Genomic DNA, 21,258 nt, shown 5'->3' with positions numbered 1-21,258 from the left:
GCTCCTATGTAAAAGGCCCTTTTCTGTTTTAGCTGAAGTGGTCCTCTCAATATACCACTTTTAATCCTTCTAGTACATCCTTAATATAACAAACATTGCTAAGAATGAATTCCAAACATTTGGATTCATTTTACCTAGTGATGTAAAAGGCATCCAAAACAATACCACCCAGCAAATATCAACCAAAAAATCAACCAAATCAATGAGATAGAAATACATATGAAGTGGTTTTTATTTCCAATTGACTACCCATCCTGGAAGATTTACAAAAAGCCAATCCTCAAGCCAGTGGTTAACATGTAACCTTTGCAAGGCCTTGAGCAAGTGTCACCAAACTTCTGACCCTCAGTTTCCTTATCTGCCAAATAAAGAGTAACTATTGGCTGGGCACAGTGGCTCACGCCTGTAATCCCAGCATTTTGGGAGGCCAAGGCAGGTGGATCACTTGAACCCAGGAGTTCAAGACCAGCCCGGGCAGCACGGTGAAACTCATCTCTATAAAAAGTATAAAAAATTAGCCAAGAATGGTGGCTTACAGCTGTAGTCCCAGCCACCTGGGAGGCTGAGGTGGGAGGATCACCTGATCCCAGGAGGTCAAGGCTATAGTGAGCCATGATGGCGCTGCTGCACTCCAGCTTGGGCAATAGAGTGAGATCCTGTCTCAAAAAAAAAAAAAAAAAAAAAAAAAAGAAAGAGTAATTATCATGACTTCCATCACAGGCAGGAATGGGATCAGAAGAGGTCACATATGAGAACGTCCTTTGGAAATTTAAATAGCTGTTATTTGGTTGAGAAATTATCTTGTTTTCATAACTTCTTTCTAGAATAGGATGACTAAAAATTGCCAGCCTCTGTAAACGAAGCAGACTTTTAAGAAAAAAACAAATAATACAGCCCCCACCTCAAAAGGAACAAAAGCCCATTCAGCAATTAAAACTACTTCTGATAACCAGCTGTTGCTCACTGTAAAGTGTTCTAGAAACAAAAATGGTTCTGCATCACTCAACAGAGGCAGAGTGGTGGTGACACTTATGGACACTGTATTAATGTCTTTAACTCCAAGAAAGGAAACTGGGAGAAATGTGCTTCAAGAAGTGTACCAGACGCAGAGTTGCTAATCCAAAATGAGCTGTTTAAAGAACAAGGATCTGTTTACCTTTCAGAGGAAAATTAGTCTTTTCAGAGAAGATTAGTTTCAGCTAGTATGCAAACTGTATTCTTTGTGTGTGGATAAGGCATTAGAGGCTGACTGAGGAAAACAGCTCCAAACAGGCAGGAAACAGACAAAGCATCTGTTTGCATTAACTTCCTCCTACACATCTCACCTCACAGGCATGAACTCAGAAGGTGGTTCTTCTAGGAGCTGAGAGTGTGTACGTGGGGGGTGGGGGACACTCTTGTCTGAATTCAGCTTCCGTCACTGTGAATGAGGAAATTCTTGGTGACAACCTCATGAAAGGTACTAGAACAGAGTCTCAGGTCCTGAGAGAGCTCAGATGGCTGCGGAAATTTAACTCAGTATTTCACCTCAATACAACAGAATTCTCATTTGTTCTACTTATGTGAAACTAACATGGATATGTAAAGGGCATCTCAACCTTAATTATCCACACAGTCTAAGATGAATTATTTGACTTTATATTCCAACCTATCCCTCTTTCCTTCCTCTAGCCTTTGGTCTCTCAAGTTAATGATGCCACTATTCCTCCAGTAGCTCAAGACAAAAACCTAGGAGTCATTTTTGATTATTTTTTTTCTTTAACCTTCCTTCCCACAACCATTTATTCCATTAGTAAGTCTTGTCAGTTCTACCTTCAAAACATATATCCAACCTAACCCGTTTCAACACTTCCATAATCAAAGCTACCATCAACTCTACCTGGGGAGTCGCTTCTTCATCCATCTCTATCCCTCCACCCTCAGCCCGATAATCCATCCTCCTAGAGTAACTAATCTTTTAAAAGTTGTTATCAATCAGGTCATGATGCTCCCCTGCCAAAAACATATCACTGGCTTCCCAGCACACTGACTAAAACCCCTGGTAGCTAGCAAGGCCCTATGAGATCTGGCTGCTGATTACCTCTCTGATCTCATCTCCTAACCCTTTCCAAGCTAACCACACCCCAGTCATAGCAGCCTTCTTTCCACTGTTCTTAGGCTTTTACATGTTGTTTTCTTTGCCAGGAATACTCTTTTGCTCCTTTTTATCCTGCTCAAACTTCACCTCCCCAAAGGTTCCTTCCTGAGAATCCTATCAAAAATTGAGTTGTCTCTACAGCTACCACTTTCTCCTCCTTACCTGGTTTTATTGTATTCATAGTACTATCACTAGCTGATTTGTCTGTTTATGTATTTCCTTCTTTACTGTCAACTTCCTGCATTATTTTCAGACAGGGAATGCACCTTGTTCACTGTAGCATCACTGTTACTCAGAACAGTGACTTCATACATAGTAGGTGCACATTATAAGTATTTGAATGAATGAATGAATGAATGAATTTTTCAAATTGTGAAATACAACATATATAAAGATAAATACATAAAACAAATACGTCTTGCTTAACAAATAATTATAAAGCAAACACCCACATAATTCCCACCAAGGTCAAGAAACAGAACACTGCCAGCTTTCCAGAAGCCTCCTCTCCAGGCACCATTCCATGATGACGGGGATCCTCCCCACCAATCACACACATTCCCCAGGTAACCATTATCTTGACTTTTGTGATGATAATTACCTCAGTTTTCTTTATAGTTGTACTATGTATGCATACAGAATGATAGGTTTTGCACTCTTGATGAAGGTAGATATGAGGAGAGTATAGACTATTAAAACATTCTTGGAGCAATATGATAGTATCTATTAAAAATTTAAATGTACATACCATTTGACCTAGCTATCCTGTTTGTAGGCATCTAACCTAGAAAAATGTGAAGAGTGCAAAAATGTATGAACAAGGATGTTCACTGCAGCAGTATTTGTAACACTAAATCACTATAACCAACACATATGCCCTTCAATGGCATAGCTGTTACATTAGCCGTGGTACCTCCATATGTGCTATATGGAATACTATATACAACCATTTAAAATACTTTAAAAAAAATTCCAAGATATAGTAAGTGAAAGAATTTTAAGAAAACCATTTTGTTTAAAATGAAAGCAAAAACGGCTGGGCGTGGTGGCTCACACCTGTAATCCCAGTACTTTGGGAGGCCGAGGTGGATCACCTGAAGCCAGGAGTTTGAGACCAGCCTGCCAACATGGCAAAACCGCATCTCTACTAAAAATACAGAAATTGGGTAGGCATGGTGGCACTCGCCTGTAATTCCAGCTACTTGGGAGGCTGAGACACAAGAATCATTTAAACCCAGGAGGTGGAGGTTGCAGTGTGCCGAGATTGTGCCACTACACTCCAGCCACCGCACTCTGGGAGACAGAGCAAGACTCTCTCAAAAACAAACAAAAACAAAGCAAAATAAGTAGAAAAGTTATGTACAACATGTGTGCATGTGTGTATCACATATGAAGAAATACAAAAAAAATTAACACCAAACCATGGCTAGTATTTTCTTTGGAAGAGGACCATGGGAGATTTTCACTGAACATTTGTACTGAACATTTCTCTATTGTCTCAATATTATTTCACAGTGAACATGAATTCTTTTTGCCATCAGGAAACACAATAAACATTTTTAAAATTTAAAAATCTATAGGCCAGGTACGGTGGCTCATGCCTGTAATCCCAGCACTTTTCGAGGCCGAGGTGGGCAGATCACCTGAGGTCAAGGAGTTTGAGACTAGACTGGCCAACATGGTGAAATCCCGCTTCTACTAAAAATACCAAAAATTAGCCGGGTATAGTGGCGGGCGCCTGTAATCCCAGCTACTCAGGAGGCTGAGACAGGAGAATCCCTTGAACCTGGGAGGCTGAGGCTGCAGTGAGCTGAGATCGTGCCATTGCACTCCAGCCTGGGCAACAAGAGCGACACTCCGTCTCAGAAACAAACAAACAAACAAATCTATAAAACTTAAACTTAGGATAGAGGCAAAACTAGAATTTCTGAATATCTACTAAGGAATATTCAGTAAAGCTAAGTTCCTTAAGAAGCCGACCCTATCCTAGCCAGATAAATCAAAGTTCATAAAAATAACACCCCATTGGGAGCCAATCTTTCATAAACATAGATTTCAAACTTCCTGGCTTCACCTGAACTATAATGGATCTTTGTTTCTTTATTTCAGTCTCTCCTTCACCAATATTTAGACCATTCCTCCAGGTATCTCTTGGCCTAATCCCTTCTAGTTTAAAGTACAGGCTTTGGATTCTCCTGGCCTTGGACCTAGGCATAACTTCCTGTTGAATGCTCTTTATCACCCTCCCTATCTCAGTGATTCTATAGTAGAAACCCATCTTGGCTTCATTCAGCCTTTGAAGCAGCCCTTTTTATACAATGCTCCCAAAACAGCTTCTCTCTTTGGGTATTAGGGAGTAATACCCAAAGTCATAGTGACAAGGCACATGACCCCAATTCTGGATGTGAGAAACTGGGGAGAGGTTTGTTAGAGACACTTGTAGCACTGTGATGAGGGGAAAGGGATAAATGGAGGGGGCTCTGGGAAAACAAATGCAAAAAGAATATAGCACAATACCTAAATAAATCAAAGAAAAAATAATTATTTTAAGGTGAATTCTCGAGTTTTACTCTTGAAGAAGCCATCAGGGCTGCACAGTGAGCAATTATATATCCTACGTGAGGCTCTGCTCAGAAGCAATCACCATTCAGCTTTCCAAATGAGAACCTCTGGCTGCCTCCTTCTCCATACTACAGACCATGTGGAGCATGAGAACAGATGAGATGACACAGAGTTGCAGACAGGGAGTTCTTTTGTCTAGTGTACGCTCCCAAGAAGGACAGGAAAGCCATAATGATACCTAAACCCAAATAATGGCCAATCGTCCCATGAGACGAGAATTTTTTGTAAAAGCTAAAAGGCTCATTTCCATACCCATCAGTAGAGTCAGAGAACTACAGAACCAATCGCTCTGTAACTGACCAACCTGCAGACCATGGAGAAGCACAGTGCAATGCAAAAGGACCTGCAGACTTTAAATCAATGCACAAAAGCTCTGTCCATTCTCATATGTAGTCACTCTTCTCAATTCATTGAAGACTGGCTTTTTATGCAATTCCAGGAGTATCTATGATAATAATATTAGGTGTCTAGGCAAGTGAGTCACCATTAGCTATAGGTTGCCTGTCAAAGCACTGATATCCATGGCACCTTTGACAACTGGTTTTCAAACAGCATACACGCAGTGTAAGAGTGAGTGTGAAAGTCAGGAGTGCACTTCTAAAGAGTACATGGAGGGGTAGTGTATTCTTGACAGTTATAGTTCTAATAATCTCCTTATTGGGTATTTTAGATAATCATTTAACAACAACAACAAAACCCAACCATCTTTTATTGAATGCCCACTCTGCTAGATACCTGTTTACAACAATAAACAAGACAGATAGAGTCCCTGCTCTCATAGAGTTTACAGTCTAACAGTATTCATCAAAGAATGCTGTTCCCTTAGCTCTTCCACAGCTGGCTCCTCACCCTTGGGGTCTCATCTCAGATGTTGTCTCCCCACAGAAGCCTTCCCTACCGACTGTTTTTTTTTTTTTTTTTTAAAGATGGGGTCTTGCTCTGTTGCCCAGGCTGGAGTGCAGTGGCACAATTTCGGCTCACTGCAGCCTTTGCCTCCCAGGTTCCAGCGATTCTCCTGCATCAGACTCCCCGGTAGCTGGAGATTACAGGCTCACGATACCATGCCCAGCTAATTTATGTATTTTTAGTAGAGATGGGGTTTCACCATGTTGGCCAGGCTGGTCTCAAATGCCTGACCTCAGGTGATCTGCCCGCCTTAGCCTCTCAAAGTGCTGGGATTACAGGCGTGAGCCACCATGACCCGGCCCCCTACCGAGTCTTTCTAAGGTAGAAAAAGCTCCCTGCTTTCTAGTCAGTCTCCATCAAATCACCCTTCATAGTACCTACTGCAATCTGTATCTTGTGGATTGTTCATTTATTTATACATCTTCTCCTACTAGCTTCATAAAACAGAGGACTTGTGTTCTCCACTGTATTCCCAGTGCCTTGATCAATAAATATTTGCTGAATGTTGAATTAAAGAAGATCTAAAAAAATAATAAAGGCTTTCATATTTTACTCAAGGAATAGAATGCAGGTTAGTCTTTAGAGGAGGGTAATGAGAGAGGTGGATTGGGACTTTTTCAAAGAATAAAATTAAGGGTTCTAAGTATCTTCCCATGAACCATGGCAGCTCTTAGTCATATGGCCAAAGGCTTATGTATCTTTGGTATGTAAATATGTTATTAAGTATATGCAACCCCCCAGAAAAGTGACACTACTGTGAACACCTCCCACAGACAGCACTGATTAACATCCAAGAGTTGTATCTGTTGGTAAGAAAACCCCAACACGTTTCTTATGGGTTGAATTATGTTCCCCTTCCCCTATCCATATATTGAAGTTCAAAACCCAGTACCTCAGAATGTGACCTTATTTAGAGACAGGGTCTTTACATAGGTAATCAAATTAAAATGAGGTCATTAGGGTGGGTCTAATCCAATATGGTTGGCGTCCTTATAAGGTTAGGAGAAATGAGTGACTGCTATGGGTACAGGGTTTCTTTTGCGGAGGGTGACATGTTCTCTAATTAGATAATGGTGATAGTGGCACACCTCTGTAAATAACTAAAAACTACCCAATTATACACTTAAAAAAATTTTTTTTTAAGAGACAAAGTCTCACTCTGTCACTCAGGCTGCAGTGCAGTGGTGTGATCATAGCTCATTGCAGCTTCAAAGTCCTGGGCTCAAGCAATCAGCCAGTACTACAGGCATGCACCACTACACATGGAGAATTTAAAAACATTTTTTTTGTAAAGACAGGGTCTTACTGTATAGTTCAGGCTAGTCTCAAGCTCTTGGCCTCAAGTGATCCTCCTGCCTCAACCTCCTAAAGTGCTGGGATTACAGACATGAGCCACTGTGCTAAGCCCCAAATTGTACCCTTTTAAAGGGTAAATGTTATGGTATGTGAATTATATCTCAATAAAGCTGTTATTAATAAAGAGAAGAGCAGCCCTGGAGGCCAAGGAAGCCAATGAGATGTATGTAAACTCTGGACGAAGGTATCAAAGAAATACTGTACATTTTAGATATTATACATTTCATACTTATAAAAACACATTTTAAACACTATAAGAAAAGTACGGCCTTTGGCCAGGCGTGGTGGCTCATGCCTGTAATCCCAGCACTTTGGGAGGCCGAGGCGGGCAGATCACAAGGTCAGGAGATCGAGACCATCCTGGCTAACACAGTAAAACCCCATTTCTACTAAAAATACAAAAAATTAGCCGGGCGTGGTGGCAGGCGCCTGTAGTCCCAGCTACTTGGGAGGCTGAGGCAAGAGAATGTCATGAACCCGGGAGGCGGAGCTTGCAGTGAGCTGAGATTGTGCCACTGTACTCCAGCCTGGGCGACAAAGCAAGACTCTGTCTCAAAAAAAAAGAAGAAGAAAAAGAAAAGTATGGCCTTCTATTACCTCTGTTGATTATCTTGTCTTAATTCACTTCAAAATATTTAACTCCTCTAGTTCCTGGATACTCAGTTAATAAAACGCTATCTAAACTTGCTGCTGATGGAAACCCCAGGGGCTGGTCCTGCTTGAAAAAAGGGAAAAAGCTATAAAACTCACCAAGGGCCTATATTCAAGGCCAGAAAGGATAACAAAAATCTAGATCTAGTAGAAATGTTATCTTCCTACGTTCTTTTAGGAGCAGCTTATCAGGATTTTCTATAAGAAATTAGGCAAAGTGAACAAATTATAAAGACACTGCTTTAGTAAAACAACCATCAACACTGAAACAAATCCTTACCTTCACACGCTGTTTAACATAAACACATTATCTCATTTTTCATTTCAATAATACTTGTATGAGGCATAATTTTTACACCCATTTTAAAGAAAAGGAAACTGAGGCACAAACAAGGTCCCCCAGTTAATGAGTAACAGAGTCAGATTCCAAGCTCCATGAGCTTTTGCTATGTCATGTTGAAATCTGCTTTTTCCCTTCGTCTCTCTTGGTCACCTATCTTTCACGGGGCAGAGTCTGCTTTAGCTCATGTTATTTTGTAACATGAACTTAGCCCCCAAGAAATCTTAATTTCCCCTTTAATTTTTCTGGTTTGTTGCATTCATTCTATAAGTCTCCGTAAGAAACACTTACTCAAAGTATGTATTAAATGTTTTTGAACAAATAAATCAATCTAGCCAGGCCTCTCTGGTTGAATCTTTCATGAATAATGAATGAAAATAGTCAAAAACATAAAAATTTTTACAAGGATAGAGATTCCATTCCCAGTTGCTGAAAAAAGCTTTTAGAACTGAATCAGAAATCCTGTTACTGAGCTGGCTCTGTGAAGTGACTTCCTGAACTGTCCAATTCCTACTTCCCAGACAATCAAATGGTGACTGGATTCTCCAGATGGGAAACCTGCAGGCAAGAAGATCTTTAGCTCTACCTATTGCCTGAATCCTCAGCTCTCACAAACATTCTGGTATTTCCCTGCAACTATTTTCCAAGTTACTAAGCATCATTTTCCTTCTTTCTTTCTCCCTCTCCTCTACCTTTCCTTCTTCTCCTCCCTTCCCCATTGGTGGCACTTCTTCCCATATTCTTGTGAGACACGTTTTTTCACTGGTCTCAGAATAACCACAGGAAGCAACTACAACACAAACTAGTGAAATAACTTCATACAGCATCACCCATCAAATTAGTGGAAGATCCAGGAATTTATGAAATGCTGCCCTATTTACACTTTTCCCTAAGACCAAAGCACCAAACACTAACCATGCAGACACGGCACTGCTCCCATGAGAACATCAGTGCTGAGGGATGATATCAGAGAAGTTCTTTTTCCTCCGGTAACTGAAGAGTTGGTAGTTTTATTTTCAATATACAAGAAGGGCTGAGGTAGAATAGTAAATCCAAGTCTTAATTTTCTAAAATAGATGGATTTATAGACCAGGGCATTAATAACATTCCTGCATTTGTTTAAAAGGTATGTTCTGTATTTAAATTAGATTTCCATCTATTTAGCCTCAACCTCCTTCCTTGAAATGATTTTACAGCCTTGACTTTGGTTAATACTTCCATGACACCACCTTAGAAAGGTACAAATAAAGAATGTTTACTAAATGTGGAAATAAAACAAATTTTCAATACAGATACACATTTCTTTTCATATTTAAACAATACAAAAAGTGTACATTCACAAATGCAACATCAATAAAAATCAATTGCTCTAGAAATTTTCCCTAAGCTTAAAAAGTTTAAAGACAGTACCTTTTAATATTTGAACTAAACGAATTAACATAATTTTGCCAGTGATAGACTTTCATAGGTAAAGTAATCACAGACTTTTAGAGCTATAAAAACGTCAGAAGTCATTAAGCACAACCCCTTCATTTTAAAAATGAGAAAACTCCCAAGTTAAGTGATTGTCAAAGTCTGTGGCTTGTTAATCACAAGCATGCATCTTGGCTCCTGACCCCTAGTTCAGTAATACCAAAGTTCTTGTAGATAGAAATACTGAACTTTGTTAAAAACGAAGGCATACAAAATCAGAATTGCTCTTGTCATCTATATGACTCACATTATACAGAAGCTCTATTTCAACTTTTTTTTTTTTTTTTTTTTTCCGAGACAGGCTGTCACTCTGTTGCCCGGGCTGGAGTGTAGTGGCATGACTGATCACAGCTCACTGCAGCCTTGACCTCCTGGGCTCAAGCGATCCCCCCACCTCAGCCTCCCAAGTAGCTGGGACCACAGGCAGGTGCCACCATGCCTGGCTAATTTTTAAAAAACTTTTGTAGAGATGAGGTCTCCCTGTGTTGCCCAGATTGGTCTGAAGTGCTTCTCCCACCTTGGCCTCCCGAAATGCTGGCGTCACAGGCATAAGCCTCCATGCCCAGCCTATTTCAACTTTTAGTATTTTACATCTTAAATTCTTAATTTGTGACTCACCCTGCTGAGCTGATCCAATAGCCTTTGGTTCTGTTCCGACAGTTCCTGGACAGCCCGTGATTTTTCTCGATCTGCTTCCCGCAGATGAATCTGCTGCCTCTCCAACTCATCCTGTAGCTGCTTCACATCACTCTCCAGCTCTGACACTCGGCCTTCCCACTCCCCTTCTCGGTTCTCAAATCGTCTTCTCAATTCATGTTTCTCTTGCTCTAAGTGCTGGGTGAAAAGTGAAGGGATTTAAACACTGATAAAAATTCCACAGCCTTTTATTTTTTCTCTCCGCGCTGTCCCAACTTTTCTTTTTCCTAGTCAGTAGACACAATAAAACACCCTACCACATAGGACAAGTTGCCGAATTCACAGCTACAAAAATATTCCTTCTTCCAGAGCAGGGAAGAAGTTGGTTTCACAAAGAGAACGCCATTCTTACTGAAAATACTTAAAGTTATTATGTTTATTCTTATCCTTAGGCATGAGGTTCTAGACTAGGGAGTTCACTTGAAATTTGCCAATCATCTAATCAATTGGTGAACTATACATTTAAACAACTAAAAATGAGTCCCACAACTAAAATCCTTTTTGATTTTTTTGAGATGGAGTCTTGCTCTGTCGCCCAGGCTGGAGTGCAGTGGTAAGACTCCGTCGCCCAGGCTGGAATGCAGTGGTGTGATCTTGGCTCACCACAACCTCCGCCTCTCAGGTTCAAGCAATTCTCATGCCTCAGCTTCTCAAGCAGCTGGAATTACAGGAATGCGCCATGACACTGGGCTGATTTTTGTATTTTCAGTAGAGATGGGGTTTTACAATGTTGCCCAGGTTGGTCTCGATTTCTTGACCTCGTGATCCCCCCGGCCCGGCCTCCCAAAGTGCTGGGATTACAGGTGTGAGCCACCGTGCCCCACCCCCTCCTTACTTTTTTTAAGGAGGCTTCCTTTGGAGTCACCTATTATCCATGGCATAATACCAGATTCTTACTATCACAGAATTTTTCAGAGATGAAAAGAACTCCAGAGATCTTTTCAATTAACCATCTCGTCTTAGAAATGAAGCAACAGAAGAGGTTAAGTGACAATCTCAAGGTCACTACTAGTAAACGGCAAAGCGGGGACTGTCTAAGTCAGTTGACTCTGGTTCTCTAAGTCACAGCTCAATAAATATTTGTTGCTATATATAGCAATGTAATTCAAAATCATTAGGGCAAGTTGAGGTTCAGGGCCACTTTAAATCATGGCCCATTAAGCCTTGTATATTTATTTGATACATTGATTCATTCTTGAGCACCTACTATGAGCCAAGCACAGTCCTAGGGACGTTCTAATGAGCAAAACAGACATGGTCCTTGCCTGTATGGAGTTTTCATTCTAGTGGAGGAGACTGATAAAACAAATTGCATATGAAAGATGGTATGCAGGAAAAGTACATATGGTTTAATGTAGCAGCTCAATAAAACAAGATTTCTTTGGATTGAGGGAAATAAAAACATCTTTTTGTGGCCAGGCGCGGTGGCACACGCCTGTAATCCCAGCACTTTGGGAGGCTAAGGAGGGCAGATCACGAGGTCAGGAGATCGAGACCATCCTGGTTAACACGGTGAAACCTGATCTCTACTAAAAATATAAAATTAGCCGGGCGAGGTGGCGAGGGCCTGCAGTCCCAGCTACCCAGGAGGCTGAGGCAGGAGAATGGCATGAACCCGGGAGGCAGAGCTTGCAGTGAGCCGAGATCGCGCCACTGCACTCTAGCCCGGACGACGGAGCGAGACTCCGTCTCAAAAAAAAAAAAAAAATCTTTTTGTTTCTGAGATAAATATGCATGCCTCTGAAAAGAGTATGTTCTTCTATTTAAAAAGCACAGTATGTACAACAGCCAAAACTATACTTCAAGGACTCTAGGAAATCTAAGTGAAAGTGATGGTCCTGAACTTTTGATGCTCTCAGAAACATTCTGGTGTAACTATTCAAAATACACCCTGGACTGCAATTCCTGAGATTGTGATGCAGTTAGGAATAGACTGAAGTCTAAGGCATCTATGCGTGTGTGTGTGTGTGTGTGTGTATCTGTATATGTATATATACTGGGTTCTACAGGAAATTCTGACACACTGAAGGTTGACATCAAGCACTGAGACTGAATGAACTAAAATGCACCTATGAATCTTCTCTTTCAGACTACTCAGTCATCTCCTTATCTTGAGAGGCTATACTCTTATTCACCTGAAGTTCTCACCATTCAAAATATCTTTCAGAATGCTTCTTTTGGAAAGCCTTAAGGGACAGCTTACAGTCATGCAAGAAAATAAGTTCTATTACTTCACATCTGGGGTGTGTCTAAAAAATGAGATTAGCCTCCTTCATCCTGCCATCTTATTCTCCTTACTTTGTTGAGTGACTTTTGAATGTTTCTGAAAGTCATTAACCCCAAAAAGATGAAAATTTACCATGATTGAGAGCAGTCAAAAGAATGTGCCAAAAGATAAAAACAGCAGTAGAAAATTAACATTCTGAGCACACTGGCAAAGGCAGTTTTCACCGAAAACTCCCAAGTTGACAACTTTAAGGAGACAACTCATTTGGAGATAGCCACTCGAGTGTATCTGTTGAAAAAGACACATTATATTTTATACAGTCTGTTTGGGGCAATGTGGGAAAAGAAATGACAAGGGAGGGCCTTCTCATCAGTATGAGAATTTTTTGCTCTATGCATCCCTTGTATTGCTTAACTTCCAAAAATGAGAATTTTTTTTTTTTTTTTGAGACGGAGTCTTGCTCTGTCTCCCAGGCTGGAGTGCAGTGGCATGATCTCGGCTCACTGCAACCTCCGCCTCCCGGGTTTACGCCATTCTCCTGCCTCAGCCTCCCGAGTAGCTGGGACTACAGGCGCCCACCACCACGCCCAGCTAATTTTTTGTATTTTTAGTAGAGACAGGGTTTCACTGTGTTAGCCAGGATGGTCTCGATCTCCTGACCTCGTGATCCGCTTGCCTCGGCCTCCCAAAGTGCTGGGATTACAGGCGTGAGCCACCGTGCCCGGCCAGAGAATGTTTTAGTCACTGTAGAAACTTCAGCAAGATGGAATGCAGAAACAAATGCTAATTGCAATCCTAAAATTGTGATACTTGCTTTTATTCAATTTTTTCAAAATGAAAAAGATTCAGCAGAAGGCAATGGCAAGAACTCAGTAATCACAGTGTTACTGAGAGGCCAGATAAATTAGGCTCGTGTTCTAAAAGAACAGAGTGACTTAAAAATATTCAGCAAACAGCTGTTAGTGAAGAGCCCAACCAAGCAACTGAAACAATCCAATCCACTTGGGGGCAGGGCTGAGGACAGGTGGTGCTGATCAGTCTATTCAGTCCTTGTATTTCTTTGGACATGAGACAAACTTCCTATTTCATGTTTCCCAATCCTTTGACAAATTCCAGGCTTTCCTATTAATAAACATACAGAATTTACCATTTTGTACAGAATTTAGCATCTGCTCTGAGAAAAGTTTCTCCTAGAATTATATTTTCAATTAAGTGCTAAATTAACCAGAAAACTCTAGGGAGACTGTCAGGAAGTGTGAAGGTCAAGTTCTGCTTATGCTCTCCTTCGTTTCTCAGGGTTATATAGTATTTTAGAAAGTTAATATCAAAATTGTCAAGGTCATCAAAAATAAGGTTAAGAAACTGCCAGTCACAGCTAAGAGGAGCCTAAAGTGACACAAAAACTAAATGTAATATGGTATCCTGGAACAGAAAAAGGTATTAGATAAATGCTTAGATAATCTGAATAAACTGAAGACTTCAGTTAGTAATCACATGAGTACTGGTTCAATAATTATGGCGGATGTACCATACTATTATAAGATGTTAATAAGAGGAAGCTGGGTGCAGGGTATATGCAAACTCTCTGTACTATCTTTCCAGCTCTTTTGGAAATCTAAAACCATTTTAAAAAATAGAGTCTATGGCTGGGCGCAGTGGCTCATGCCTGTAATCCCAGCACTTTGGGAGGCCCAGGTGGGCAGATCACGAGGTCAGGAGTTTAAGACCAGCCTGACCAAGATGGTGAAACCCCGTCTCTACTAAAAATACAAAAATTAGCCGGGCATGGTGGTGTATACCAGTAGTCCCAGCTACTCAGGAGGCTGAGGCAGGAGAATTGTTTGAACCCGGGAGGCGGAGGTTGCAGTGAGCCAAGATGGCGCCACTGCACTCCAGCCTGGGTAACAAAGTGAGACTCCGTCTCGAAAAAAAAAGAGTCTATTTAAAACTAAAAAAACCCCACCACCCAAAATTAAGATCATTAGTTTACATAAAACAGGTCTTTACAGAAATGGATTTCTGCCAAAAAAAAAAAAAGAACCAAAAAACTGACAATATGCTCAGAAGTCCAGTACATGGTTCTGAAAAAGTACTGTTCTTTAAAAGGTCCAAGAACTAAATGCAAATCAGAACCCCTGGGTTTTCTTCCCTAAATCCACTAGTGACTCCCATTATGTATTCATTTTCATCTTTTGTTCTTCCTCTTAAAAAAACAGTACTGGACTAATGAGAATTGGCCTGGCCTGGGGAAGGAGGAAAATATAACTGAGGGAAGAGAACAATCTCTGCAGTAAAGAGATAATCCACTCAGCCATGATGGAAAAAAGGGAGATACTGTACATTAACAACAAATATTTAATTCCTGAAGAAAAAAGGTGTATAAATACAAGTTACTGTCTTACTTCATATTCTGGGGAAAAAGCTAAGGACATGACCGGATATAAGTTTTAAAGCAAAACGGCTAATTGTAGATGAAAAGAAATTTTTAAAAATGCCTTCAGAACTTTAAGCATCTGGGCTGGGTGCAGTGGCTCACGCCTATAATCCCAGCACTTTGGGAGGCTGAGGCGGGAGGATCACCTGAGGTCAGGAGTTCAAGACCAGCCTGGCCACCATGGTGAAACCCCATCTCTAAAAAATACAAAAATTAGCCAGGCATGATGGTGGGTTGTGTAATCCCAGCTACTCGGAAGGCTGAGGCAGGAGAATCGCTTGAATCCAGGAGGCAGAGAGGTTGCAGTGAGCTGGTATCACGCCACTGCACTCCAGCCTGGGCAACAGAGCAAGACTCTGTCTCAAAAAAAAAAAAAAAGAAACAACTTTAAGCATCTGATTCAGTGAATGAGTAACAAAATACAGAGTCAATTCAAGAGCGGAAAAAATGGCCCAAACCTTACAGTTTTTCCAATTAACCTGAATTTTCATTTTAACCCCAAGAGACATATAACTAAAAAACTTCTGTTAACCTTTAAACCACTGAAGACTTTAAATATTAATAGTATGCCTTTAATGACACAATAGTGTAGCATCAAGTACTTTAATGTTTGAAATGAAAACAACAAAATCTTGGGCTTGGCACACAGAACCAGAGAGGTATTTAGTATTAACTAATGAATAGGTAGAAAAGATCTTGAAAATGCCTTGTTTGTCCCGACATTAGAAAGGTGCCGGCCCGGCGCAGTGGCTCATGCCTGTAATCCCAGCACTTTGGGAGGCCGAGGCAGGCGGATCACGAGGTCAGGAGCTCGAGAACATCTTGGCTAACATGGTGAAACCCCGTCTCTACTAAAAATACAAAAAAAAAAAAAAAATTAGCCAGGCGTGGTGGCGGGCGCCTGTAGTCCCAGCTGCTCAGGAGGCTGAGGCAGGAGAATGTCATGAACCTGGGAGGTGGAGCTTGCAGTGAGCTGAGATTGCGCCACTGCACTCCAGACTGGGCGACAGAGCGAGACTCCATCTGGGGGGCAGGGTGGGGGGGTGGAAGAAAGGTGCCAATTTTGAAGTAGTAGAGAAGATGGGATTAAAATAAAACCAGTCTCATTATTCAATAGTGAAAGTGGCATTCCCTCAGTCCACTCACATGTTTCTCTTTCAAACCACCCTGTAAGAAAATGTGTTTGACTCCAAATGTCCGACAGTTTGTGGAAGATTATAAATTTTTTTTTTCTGGTCAAGTTCTCTCATGAATAAATGCGTCTTAAAGTACTGGTTTTATACTCCCAAGTGTTTGATTTAATTGAAAATACAGGCCAGGCTCAATGGTTCACTCCTGTAATCCCACCACTTTGGAAGGCCAGGGCAGGAGGACTGCTTGAGCCCCGTAGTTTGAGACCAGCCTTGGCAACATAGTGAGACCCCATCTCTACGAAACATTTTTACAAAATTAGCCAGGTGTGTAGTAGGCGCCTGTAGTCCCAGCTACTCAGGAGGCTGAGTGGGAGGGTCACTTGAGGGTGCAGTAAGCCATGATCAGCCACTCCACTGCAGCCTGGGGGATAGAGTGAGATCTTGTCTAAAAAAGAAAAAAGTACAAAGTACAGCAGTTTGTACTGAACGTTAGAAAGTATTGTCTAAACAGACATTCTAAAACCTACATTGTTCAAACAATGTACTGTGGGGAAAACTAAACCGGAGGTGTCAAATAAAACAGTACTCTGTAAACCAGGTTTGTCACTCTCACATTAACACTAGAAAGATTAACAAGCAACTAATGGTACTCTCTTAGTATCTTTAATGAACATTTTTAAAACTTTAAAATTTTTTATAATTTTCAAACCTACCTATAAGAAATAATATAACTGACTCCCCTCATCACTGAGTTTCAACAATGATCAATATTTGGCCTGTAAGTATATGTTAAGTATATGTTAGTTATATTCACATTGTTGTGCGACTATCTCCAGAACTTAAAATTGAACTTTTAAAACTAGAGTTCATATGCTGACCTGCAGAGGAATGAAGGTTTTAAAAAATAGTTTAAAGAGTTTTAAACTATTGTTGTCCATTAAGTAAATAACAAAATGTCAAAGATAATTTATTCTTTTACAATACAACCTTTTTTTGTTACCATTCTGAAATCTTTGCCCTATGTTGAAGAAATGTATAAAGGCTCCACATGGAACCCAGAATGTATGTAATTGCACACTCAGGATTACTATGAAATCTGGCACTAATCAAACTGATACGGTGCTCCTTTCAAGTCAGCTGTCTCTTCAATCAAGTCCTTCACTGAAGAAATTTCAAATCACAAGTATAAATCTCTGTAGTTGTACTTCTTTACAAAGTCGTACAACTGAATCTCTTTATAAAAAAAAAAGGAAGGCTTTTTATTTCTAGACCTCTACTTCAAGTGAAAATTAAACAATTCAATTCATTAGGCTGCTTTTTGGCAGTCTACCTATAGGTTTCACAAACGACTTTTCAGAGAGGTATCTCAGGAGTTCATCGACTGGCAGACCTAGTTAGCAGGACAACCGAACTACAGGGCACTCACAGGTTTCCTTTTTTTCTCCCGGATTTACTTTTACGTCGCTGGACTATAGGCATACTTAAATCTTATTACAGAATATTTCTGAATTTCCATTCTGACTGTTCAACCAGTAGCAGAGATACGGAACCTGACTAGGGTCAATTTCAAACCTCATTCAGGTCTGTACTATTGTCTTGCTGTAACTAAGAATGAAAAGAGCTGGCTGCAACCAAACTAGGTAACAATAATAGTAAACGCACAGGCAGGAAAGGTAAGTCACAGGTGACTCCCTCTCCCCATCCCCCTGCCCCTTTTTTTTGCAATCTAATTTTTAGAAATGCTGGCATTCTGTACTGCATTCAAGGCCCTTTTCTAGTTAAGGGCAAGAAAACAAACAACTCTGAAAGACTGCCTAGAGAACTGGCAGAAATATTACGGATACCTTAACAGGTATTTTATAACAGAAGTTAAAGTAATATGGTTCTCATAGGTTGCATTTGGTCATTCAATTGCAAGCCTGAGACCCAGAACACAGAAAAGTACTGTTTAAATACACATAAATACTGAGGCCCAAATTAAATCCACTACCAGCGGTCACATGTTGAGCCCTGGCTCGCCTGATTTCTGCAATGGAACCACATTTCCTAATCCCTGAGCATTTGAAGGCTATATAAAGCTCCTTTAGGGGCACTTGTTTCCCACAACTCTGAGCTGCCAGGAAGTTAAGACAAGGGCATCTAAAGGCCTTAACGCCCAAACTGGAAGGCTTTAGGCTAACACCCTGATTAGAGATTAACTGCTCTGAAAACCTGCAACATATTTTAAATGCTTCCCGACTTCCTCATTTCTCTGTATGCAGACATCACCTCAGTGCTATATAGTCATACTGTAAGCTCTATTTTAGATGCTGGGTACAGTACGTATATAGAACGGCCCACAGCGGCTGGAGCCACGCATGGACCCATTTGCTGTGAGCGGGGTGGGGAAGTCAAGTGGGTTCAACGAAATCTGATAATCCTCCATCCTCCCTCCCCCATTCATTCCAGATTTTCTGCGAGGTAGGGTGAGCAACGAAGTGGGGGTGAGTGGTTCCCTAACTGCCCAGGGCCGGGCGCGTGCCTGGGCGGCCCCTGCTCCCCACCCATCCCTGGAGGGAGGTCCTCACCTCGAGCTTGTCTGTCAGCTCCTTATGCATCTGCTCGTACTGCCGGCTCATGTCCTGGTTCCTCTCGAGCAGCGCCTTACCCAGCCGGGCCGCCAACACCAGATCCTTCTCCTTCTGTCGGATCACCGACAGCAGCTCGGGGTCCTGGGAGGGCGGCGGCTGCGGTCCGGCCCCCTCGGCCAGAGACCCAGGCTCGGCCTGAGGGTGTTCCCCGGGGTCGGACGGCCGCTCCCCGGCCGCCAGCAGCGCCAGCTCCTCCTCTAACGCCAGTTCTAGCTCCCCGGAGCCCCCGGGGAAGATGAGGGCGGCGGCGGCGGCGGGACTCCGGACTGCGTCCCCGGCCGCGGCGGGCAGCTCCATGCAGCAGGCGCTGTCCGGCTCGGCGGGTGCTGAAGCGCGGCCGACCAAGCCCAGGCAGAAAGCGGACATGGCCCGCGCGCGCGGAGCCCGCAGCGGTGCGGCCCGGCCCGCGCGCGCCAGGCTGCAGGGGGGAGGGGCCCTGCCGCGCCGCCCCGCGTCCCGCGCCTCGCCTCGCGCCGCGGCACGCGCCCCCGGGTCCCCGCGAGCCCTGGGCGCGGCGCGCGCCGGCCCGCCCCTCCCCCGCGCCGGCGGCACGCGCCCCCTCCCCCGCCCCCGGGCTCAGCTGCTCAGGCGCGCGCGGGAGGAGGGGGTGGGGGTAGTGGCGGAGTAGGTGGTGGGAACGGGAAGGCTGGGGAAGGGAGGACTCAGGAACAGAGACTGAGGGTCGGCGAAGCGGGAGGGGAGGAAGCGAGGAGGAACGCCGCCGCCGGGTTCTCAGCCGCCCTGTTGCCGCTGCCGCTGCTGCTGCTGCTGCCGCCGCCGGCCGGGCAGCGCCTCACGGGGCGGGCTGCGCTCCGCTGTCGCCGCGACGCTTCCTGCTGCTGCTGCTGTTGCCGGCGGCCGCTCTCTGCAGCCGCACTCCATGACCCCCGGCTCCGCGGCAGCCCCAGCAGCAGCGGCGGCGACGGCGGCTGCTGCTGCTGCAGGGGCCGAGGCGGCGGCTCCACATCGCGCGCCGCGCAACCCGGCGAGCTCCTTCCTGCCTTCCCCGGCTCCTCCCGGCTCACCGGGCCGGCAGCGCCCCGCCCCGGGCTTCCGGCCGCGTCCCCTCGCCCCGCCCCTTGCCGGCGCCTGACGCGCGCGGGCACCTGTTCGCCCCGCCCGCGCGGGATTCGCCGGCTCGCGGGTCTCCTCAGCGACGCCCAGGTGGCGCCGGCGGCCTTAACCCCTGCTCTGCCTCACGCCCTGCGGGCGGCTGCGCGCGCCGCCTGCGGAGGCGGCTGGCGCATCCCTCACGGTCCTGGCTGCCTCACCGCGCGGCCACGCCCCCAGCCTTGCACCCACTTCGGGGTGCGGTTCCGCCCTCAGCCTCGCTCAGAGCTGGGGTGTGGCCACGCCCTCAGCTCTCGTACCTCGGGGTGTGGCCTCGCACCCGGCCTCGCTCTCACCTCGGACGGAGCGCGGCCCCGCCCACCGCCTGCTGCTCACCTCCAGGCGCGGCCCCGCCCCCAGCTACTTGGAAGCCGGGGCGCGCCTCAGAGTTCTGTTGCCGCATCTCTGGTGGTGTCTGGGGCAAAGGGGACTGAGGACATTCCTCCAAGACTGGTGACCCGGCCCCGAGAAAGACATACCCTCACGAAATTTAGGTCTGGGCCCCCAGGAGAACTAAGCAGTCAGGAGAGGGAGCCCTAGAGAGCAGTAGGAGGAGGGAGGACTTCGGAAACCAGGCATCTTCATGCTGATGACTCAGGGATATGAAGGACCAGATGCTTCGCAGATCAGCAGCCCGGAGAGAAAGGGTTTCTGCGGAGAAATAACGGAAAAAACTGCTCACAGATGGGAATACGAAGCAAAGAACCTCCCTAATAATAACTACCGTTTATTCGGCACTCAGTGTGTGCCATGTCCTGTATTAAGTGCTTGATAGTCATTATTTTAGATAATCCTCACAAGAACTTTATAAAATCAGTACTGCCGCTTGTCATTTTAACAGAGAAGGAAATTAAAGCCTGAGAGATGGCATCGTCTGCCCAGGTCATTACAACTGGTAGAGTCAGGATTGAGATCTAGCCAGGCCGACGCCAGGGATCACGTGAATCATTATTCTTTATTTTCTTCACATAGAAGCAGTCTTGAGGAAGATAAATGGTCCTTTGTGACCAAGATGGATTGGGTGGATATGGAAGGAACATTTCCTCAATGATTAAAGGAAGGTTTGGAGAGCCTACTGGGTGACTTGCAGTCATTCCTTGGTGTTGACCTCGTTGGTGGTGCTACGTGTCTCCTATTTCCAGAAACAATCCCATCTAAAGCTAGAATTCGTCCCTATGCTTCCTTTTCCTCTTGGACAGACAACCCATTTTTTACTTGGATCATGCCTTTCTTCTTTTCATCCCAGTGAGATGGAAATTTCAGAACATCAAGAGGCTGAAATGGGTCAAATAGTTTCTCATGGTTTTTATCGCTTATTAAATTCAGAGCCTAAACAATATTCAAGTTTTAACATCGTTACCCTTAGACTGAAGGCCAGAATCTGAAAAGCTCCTGGGCCTCAGGGCTGGCATTGTTCACTTGTTGACTGGAAAGGAGACAGACAGTTGAGGGATTCCCACATCAATCTTAGAGCTAAATTTCTGCAGTTGACCATGTTACCATTCCAGCAAGGAAATGTTCTAACACTTTTTATTATGACCTC

General features: G+C 43.8%; 1 protein-coding gene across 16 annotated transcripts in view, besides 10 other annotated features; it reads right to left on the bottom strand.

Annotated features, from left to right (window-relative positions):
• Positions 1 to 19,604, bottom strand: part of BICDL1 (BICD family like cargo adaptor 1) — a 105,260-nt gene extending 85,656 nt beyond the window's left edge. For 10 of the 16 annotated variants that reach the window (XR_007063143.1, XM_006719694.4, XM_006719696.4 and 7 more), the window contains exons 1-2: positions 18,543 to 19,604; positions 10,104 to 10,319 (exon numbers count right to left, since the gene is read on the bottom strand). Coding sequence is in view for 12 of the 16 variants with exons in the window: in XM_006719694.4 (XP_006719757.1) it covers positions 10,104 to 10,319; positions 18,543 to 18,971 (645 nt within the window). In the remaining 4 variants the exon portion in view is untranslated. Of the gene's footprint in view, positions 1 to 8,927; positions 9,080 to 10,103; positions 10,320 to 18,542 lie in introns of those variants that run through there. The other 6 variants (NR_147892.1, NR_147893.1, NM_207311.2 and 3 more) reach the window with 3 other exon arrangements.
• Positions 14,784 to 14,887: a silencer, noted in NCBI's record as "fragment chr12:120431757-120431860 (GRCh37/hg19 assembly coordinates)". NCBI's record gives its function as "represses an EF-1alpha promoter that drives an FKBP-Casp9 reporter gene in an ReSE screen in phorbol 12-myristate 13-acetate-treated (for megakaryocytic differentiation) K562 erythroleukemia cells {active_cell/tissue: K562(+PMA)}" and the evidence as "EXISTENCE:reporter gene assay evidence [ECO:0000049][PMID:32094911]".
• Positions 17,988 to 18,959: an enhancer, noted in NCBI's record as "H3K27ac-H3K4me1 hESC enhancer chr12:120427685-120428656 (GRCh37/hg19 assembly coordinates)". NCBI's record gives its function as "activates a minimal SCP1, AML or CMV promoter by ChIP-STARR-seq in naive H9 embryonic stem cells {active_cell/tissue: H9 hESC(naive)}" and the evidence as "EXISTENCE:reporter gene assay evidence [ECO:0000049][PMID:30033119]".
• Positions 18,257 to 18,316: a silencer, noted in NCBI's record as "silent region_4937". NCBI's record gives its function as "represses an Ori minimal core promoter by ATAC-STARR-seq in GM12878 lymphoblastoid cells {active_cell/tissue: GM12878}" and the evidence as "EXISTENCE:reporter gene assay evidence [ECO:0000049][PMID:35858748]".
• Positions 18,627 to 18,836: a silencer, noted in NCBI's record as "silent region_4936". NCBI's record gives its function as "represses an Ori minimal core promoter by ATAC-STARR-seq in GM12878 lymphoblastoid cells {active_cell/tissue: GM12878}" and the evidence as "EXISTENCE:reporter gene assay evidence [ECO:0000049][PMID:35858748]".
• Positions 18,847 to 18,916: a silencer, noted in NCBI's record as "silent region_4935". NCBI's record gives its function as "represses an Ori minimal core promoter by ATAC-STARR-seq in GM12878 lymphoblastoid cells {active_cell/tissue: GM12878}" and the evidence as "EXISTENCE:reporter gene assay evidence [ECO:0000049][PMID:35858748]".
• Positions 18,960 to 19,933: an enhancer, noted in NCBI's record as "H3K27ac-H3K4me1 hESC enhancer chr12:120426711-120427684 (GRCh37/hg19 assembly coordinates)". NCBI's record gives its function as "activates a minimal SCP1, AML or CMV promoter by ChIP-STARR-seq in naive and primed H9 embryonic stem cells {active_cell/tissue: H9 hESC(naive and primed)}" and the evidence as "EXISTENCE:reporter gene assay evidence [ECO:0000049][PMID:30033119]".
• Positions 18,960 to 19,976: a biological region, named in NCBI's record as "H3K27ac-H3K4me1 hESC enhancer GRCh37_chr12:120426711-120427684".
• Positions 18,967 to 19,056: a silencer, noted in NCBI's record as "silent region_4934". NCBI's record gives its function as "represses an Ori minimal core promoter by ATAC-STARR-seq in GM12878 lymphoblastoid cells {active_cell/tissue: GM12878}" and the evidence as "EXISTENCE:reporter gene assay evidence [ECO:0000049][PMID:35858748]".
• Positions 19,337 to 19,976: a silencer, noted in NCBI's record as "silent region_4933". NCBI's record gives its function as "represses an Ori minimal core promoter by ATAC-STARR-seq in GM12878 lymphoblastoid cells {active_cell/tissue: GM12878}" and the evidence as "EXISTENCE:reporter gene assay evidence [ECO:0000049][PMID:35858748]".
• Positions 19,997 to 20,056: a silencer, noted in NCBI's record as "silent region_4932". NCBI's record gives its function as "represses an Ori minimal core promoter by ATAC-STARR-seq in GM12878 lymphoblastoid cells {active_cell/tissue: GM12878}" and the evidence as "EXISTENCE:reporter gene assay evidence [ECO:0000049][PMID:35858748]".

Source organism: Homo sapiens, chromosome 12, assembly GCF_000001405.40.
Source record: "Homo sapiens chromosome 12, GRCh38.p14 Primary Assembly".
Lineage (NCBI taxonomy): Eukaryota > Metazoa > Chordata > Mammalia > Primates > Hominidae > Homo > Homo sapiens.
This window is presented reverse-complemented; position numbering and strand designations above follow the sequence as displayed.